Source organism: Homo sapiens, chromosome 9 (assembly GCF_000001405.40).
Source record: "Homo sapiens chromosome 9, GRCh38.p14 Primary Assembly".
Lineage (NCBI taxonomy): Eukaryota > Metazoa > Chordata > Mammalia > Primates > Hominidae > Homo > Homo sapiens.
The window spans coordinates 133,196,734-133,201,930 of record NC_000009.12 but is presented as its reverse complement, the minus strand read 5'-3'; the positions used below and the strand labels follow the sequence as shown (position 1 = coordinate 133,201,930).

At 50.4% G+C, this 5,197-nt stretch overlaps 1 annotated feature.

Annotated features, from left to right (window-relative positions):
- Window positions 1,194–1,915: an enhancer, noted in NCBI's record as "H3K27ac-H3K4me1 hESC enhancer chr9:136075403-136076124 (GRCh37/hg19 assembly coordinates)". NCBI's record gives its function as "activates a minimal SCP1, AML or CMV promoter by ChIP-STARR-seq in primed H9 embryonic stem cells {active_cell/tissue: H9 hESC(primed)}" and the evidence as "EXISTENCE:reporter gene assay evidence [ECO:0000049][PMID:30033119]".

The window sequence follows — 5,197 nt, the reverse complement described above, 5'->3', positions numbered from 1 at the left end:
GGAGGTCTGTGGTCCTGCTGTGCCAATTCACAGGCCTGGAAGCACCAGAGGGTGCCCAGAGAACCCTGGAGTTCTGTACGTCCACCCCCATCCCTCTCATGGGACAGTGCACCTGTTGCTTGGTGATAGGCAGATTCACTCATCTGGCAGTAGGTTAGCAAGACTATCATACTGTATGTGCAAAAGAGAGATGGGCAGAAGTTTAAAAAGTTCTATTTTGCCTGCAAAAGTAAAGGCGGCGTCTGGCTTGCTCCTGGGCCCTAAGGAACGCTGAGCACCTGCCCAGAGGATGCCAGTGACGGTGGGGCTGCAGGTGCCTGTCTCGCCTGGCATTGCCAAAGGTTGGGTGGGCAGAAACCCTCAGCCGTCTGAAGAAGCAGGGCATTTCAGATCAGCCCCCAGCAGGAAGGTCCCATGAGGCCCTGGTGAGAGCTGACCGGAGGACATGGGGTCCCAGCCACCTGTTGGACACCATGGTGTGGGCAGGTCTGGGAAGCTTTTCTCCTCTTTTTTTTTCTTTTATGAGACACTGTCCTTCTCTGTTGCCTAGGCTGGAGTGCAGTAGTACAATCACAGCTCACTGTAGCCTTGATATCTCAGGCTCAGGCAATCCTGAGTAGCTCAGCCTCCTGAGTAGCTGCCACTACAGGTGTGCACCACTATGCCCAGGTAATTTTTTTTTTTCTTAGAGACAGAAACTCCCAACGTTGCTCAGGCTGGTCTCAAACTCCTAGGCTCAGATGATCCTCCTACCTTGGCCTCCCAAAGTGCCTGAATTCCAGTCATGAGCCACCGACTGTGCCTGGCCTCTTCTCTTCTTGTTGGTGTTTGTCTATTACACATAGTGAACAGCAGGAGAAATATATCCGAGGGCTGGTGGCAGTGCCCTCTCCCTAACTCACCCCTAAACCCCGCTAACAGACACGGAACAGAACCAGAGCCGGGAGGTTTATTCTCTCAATGCAGGGGGATTCCTGGAGGTTTATTGTCAATGCAGGGGGATTCCGTTGCCACTTGCTGCCATCTCTGCACGATCAGCTCCTATGCATCTTCCCTTGGACTTGTCTGTGCTCAGCGCCAGGCCCCCGCCCACCCGCTTGCCTGGTGAGTGCCTCTCATTGGCTCCTCTCCTCGGATCAGCGCTCGCCTCCCCCCAGGTCACTTCACTTTCTTCCGTTCCTGGCCTGGTACCGCATTCTTGGATATCAACCTTTTTCTCCGAACAATCCATGGATGCTTGTTCTTCCTTTCTGTGTGCGTTTAGGGGTTCGTTTTATTAAAAACAAACAAACAAAAGCGCTTTATATTCTTGATCTTTCGAGATCTTTCCAGGATCATTTATTTTCATCTTTTAAGTCCAAGAGCTTTCCAGGATGCGCAGGCCTGTGTCTCTCCTCACCTGCCTTGCCTGAATTTGTGAGCGCTAGCAATCTCACGCTCACACTCTGCGGCGTTCCTTCTGCTCGGAGAAATTTTATGCCATTCTTGGTCTCCTGTCCTCCATCCGTGTGCCTCCCTGCTCCTGGAACGCCCGGGGTTTGCAGGGAAGGCTCCCGCGCGCCCGGCCCCCTCCCGCCCGCGGGCTCTCACTCAGCTCTGGCTGAGAGCTTCCTCTTCGCGGTGGTCTTCACCTTTTACGTCTGGTTGCGGTCTCTCCTGCATCGTCTCACTCATTTCCCCATTTGTAAAGCACGTGTTTCCGAGCCCAGTCTGCTTTTGCGCCGTGGCCTCCTGTCCTCAAGGGGCGCGTTACTGGTTTGGCGCCCGCGGTGGCTTCCGCTGCCGTCGGGGCGCTCTGGTTCCCGCTCTCTGGGCCACTCACGAGCTGCGTTCCTTTGCCCGTCCCCGGGCTCAGGTCCAGGTGCTGCTTCTCCCGGCAGGCGTGACCTGAGATTGTCGTGGGTCCCGCAGTCACTGGCTCTGCGGACGTTTTGCTCATCTCCTGCAGAGAATCCTGGAGGAAGCCCTTCTATCCCCAGCCTCCTTGGGGCAAAGGCCGGGGTGCCCAGGTCTCAGGCTGCAGGGCATCATTGCCTGCGAGCAGTTCTCTGGGGGCAGGCCAGGGGCCGGCCAGCGGGGCCTTGTGGAATGTCACGGGAGTGGCACTGCCTTTCCGTGGGGCCTGTGGGTCACACTCCCTCCAAGAAGGGGAACGGACCCACCCCTGGCGGAGTCCTGGGCCTCCGTCCCTGGCTCCCGGGAGGCCTGCCTGGGAACGCAGCTGCAGCTGGGAGAGGAAGGCACCGGAGGTTCCCACACCGCCGCTCTTCCAGAACTCGCTCCGCCGCCGATTTGGAGCAGCTTACATTTTGTTTTGTCTCTGCTTCCATCCGCAGTATTTATTTCTGCCTCCTGTGTTTCTGTTCTTCTCCAGTCTCCCCAGAGTCCATTTCTTTCTTTCCATCTCTATAAGGAACCAGCTTCTGCCTCCGAGGAGTGTCTCTGCCTCTCCGTGTGCCGACTCCCAGCTCGCACTCCTGTCTCACGTTCCCTTGGCATTTTGGTTTTGCTCTGTTATTTGTTCGTTTGTTTATTGAGACGGAGTCTCACTCTGTCCCCCAGGCTGGAGTGCGGTGCGCCATCTCAGCTCACTGCAACCTCCGCCTCCCGGGTTCAAGTGATTCTCCTCCCTCAGCCTCCCAAGTAGCTGGGACTACAGGAGAGGGCCACCACGCTTGGCTAATTTTTGTTTTCGTGGGTTTTTTTTTTTGAGACAGAGTCTCACACTGTCGCCCGGGCTGGAATACAGTGGGGCCATCTCGCTCACTGCAACCTCCGCCTCCCAGGTTCAAGCGATTCTCCTGCCTCAGCCTCCTGAGTAACCGGAATTACAGGTGCCCGCCACCACGCCCGGCTTATTTATTTATTTATTTATTTTGTATTTTAAGTACCACCACGCCCGGCTTATTTATTTATTTATTTATTTATTTATTTTGTATTTTAAGTAGAGATGGGGTTTCACCATGTTGACCAGGCTGGTCTGGAACTCCTGACCTTGTGATCCGCCTGCCTCGGCCTCCCAAAGTGCTTGGGATTACAGGCGTGAGCCACTGCACCAGGCCTAATTTTTGTATTTTTAGTAGAGACGGAGTTTCACCATGTTGGCCAGGCTGGTCTTGAACTCCTGACCTCAAGTGATCCACCCGCCTCAGCCTCCCAAAGTGCTGGGATTACAGGCATGAGCCACTGCTCCTGCCCTGCTCTGTTATTATTTTTAATATTGATTTGAACACTTGGTTCATTTATTTGTATGTTATATGTTTCTTTTTTTTTTTTTTTTTTTTTTTTTTTTTTGAGACAGGGTCTTGCTCTGTCGCCCCAGGCTGGAGTGCAGTGACATGATCTTGGCTCACGGCAACCTCTGCTTCCTGGGTTCAAGAGATTCTCCTGCGTCAGCCTCCTGAGTAGCTGGGATTACAGGTGCCCACCACCATGCCCGGCTAATTTTTGTATTTTTTTTTTTTTAGTAGAGGCAGGATTTCACCATGTTAGCCAGGCTGGTCTTGAACTCCTGGCCTGAAGTGATCCACCTGCCTCGACCTCCCAAAGTGCTGAGATTACAGGCGTGAGCCACCGCGCTCGGCCATATTTCCATGTTTTATGTTTCTAATGCTTATGTCTGTAATTTTCTGAGTGCAACAAAGGACACCTTTAGCTGCATCCAACAAATGTTGATAGAGATTGCTGTCACTGTTATTCATTTCTCAGTAGTTCATAAGTTCCTTTGTAATCCTAAGAGTATACACTGTCTATGGGAATCTGTTGATAGTTCCTTTCTGATACATGGCTGAAAAGTTTTTGCAAACATTTCTCATGTGCTTGAACTTAATTTGTGGGTTTTGGTAGTTGCATATTTCCACAAACACCTATTAGATGAACTTAACTGATCATGTTACTTACATCTTACACTCTCAAATATTTTTCTCTACTTCATCCATTTGTTTCTGAATATCTCCGTTAAATAATCCCGCTTCAGTTGTTGATTTCTCATGTTCTCCTTAAATTCAATTAGTTTTTGCTCCATATATTTAGAATTTACAATTGTTTTGGTGTGGCCAGCTCAATGGTGGTGATTTTCTTTTCCCTAAGGATGATCATTCCTGTTATCAGCACCAAGCATCTTTGTGTGTTCACATTTGATGTTTCTCCTCATATTTCACAGCAACTTCTTTTGGAAAATATATTTTCCTTTTCATTCTTTGTTTTTTAACGTGAGTCTCTTTCTGATTTTTTTAATTATTTTATTTTGAAATTCACACAGAAAAAAAGTGGTTTTTTTCATGGACAGTTCTGTGGATTTTAGCATGTGCAGAGATTTTTTTTTTTTTAAACAGAGTCTCGTCCTGTCGCCCAAGCTGGAGTGCAGTGGCGCGATCTCTGTTCACTGCAACCTCCGCCTTGAGGGTTCAAGCGATTCTCCTGCCTCAGCCTCCCAAGTAGCTGGGATTGCAGGTGCCTGCCACCATGCCTGGCTAATTTTTGTATTTTTACTAGAGACAGGGTTTCACCATATTGGCCAAGCTGGTCTCAAACACCTGACCTCAGGTGATTTGCCCTCCTCGGCCTCCCAAAGTGCTCAGATTACAGGCGTGAGCCACCGCACACAGCCACATGTGTAGATTTGTGTAACCATCACTGTCGTCAACAGGCAGAGCAGATCTGCCACCCCAGCAACCCCCCCTGCTTACCCTCCACAGTCAAATCCTCCCCCAGCCCCTCACCTCTGGGGACCTCAATCTTTCTTGCATCTCTGTAGTTGTGTCTTCTCTAGAATATCACATAAATGGAACTGCATAGTATGCAGCCTTTTTAGACTGGCTTCACTCATTCCGCATACTGCCTTTGATATTAATCCATGCTGTTAAGCATATCAACAGCTTGCTCCTTTTAATTGCTGAGAAGTTTCATTGCGTGGATGTACAACAGTTTGCCCTATTGATGGTGAAGGTGTTTGAGTTGTTTCCAGTTTCTAGCAATGATGAATGGAGCTGCTACACACATTTGTTTTTGTACAAGTTTTGTTTTTGTATTTTTGTTTTGTTTTTGTTTTTGAGATGGAGTCTTGCTCTGTCGCCCAGGCTGGAGTGCAGTGGCGCCATCTCGGCTCACTGCAAGCCCGGCCTCCCAGGTTCACGCCATTCTCCGGCCTCAGCCTCCCGAGTAGCTAGGACTACAGGTGCCTGCCACCACGCCTGGC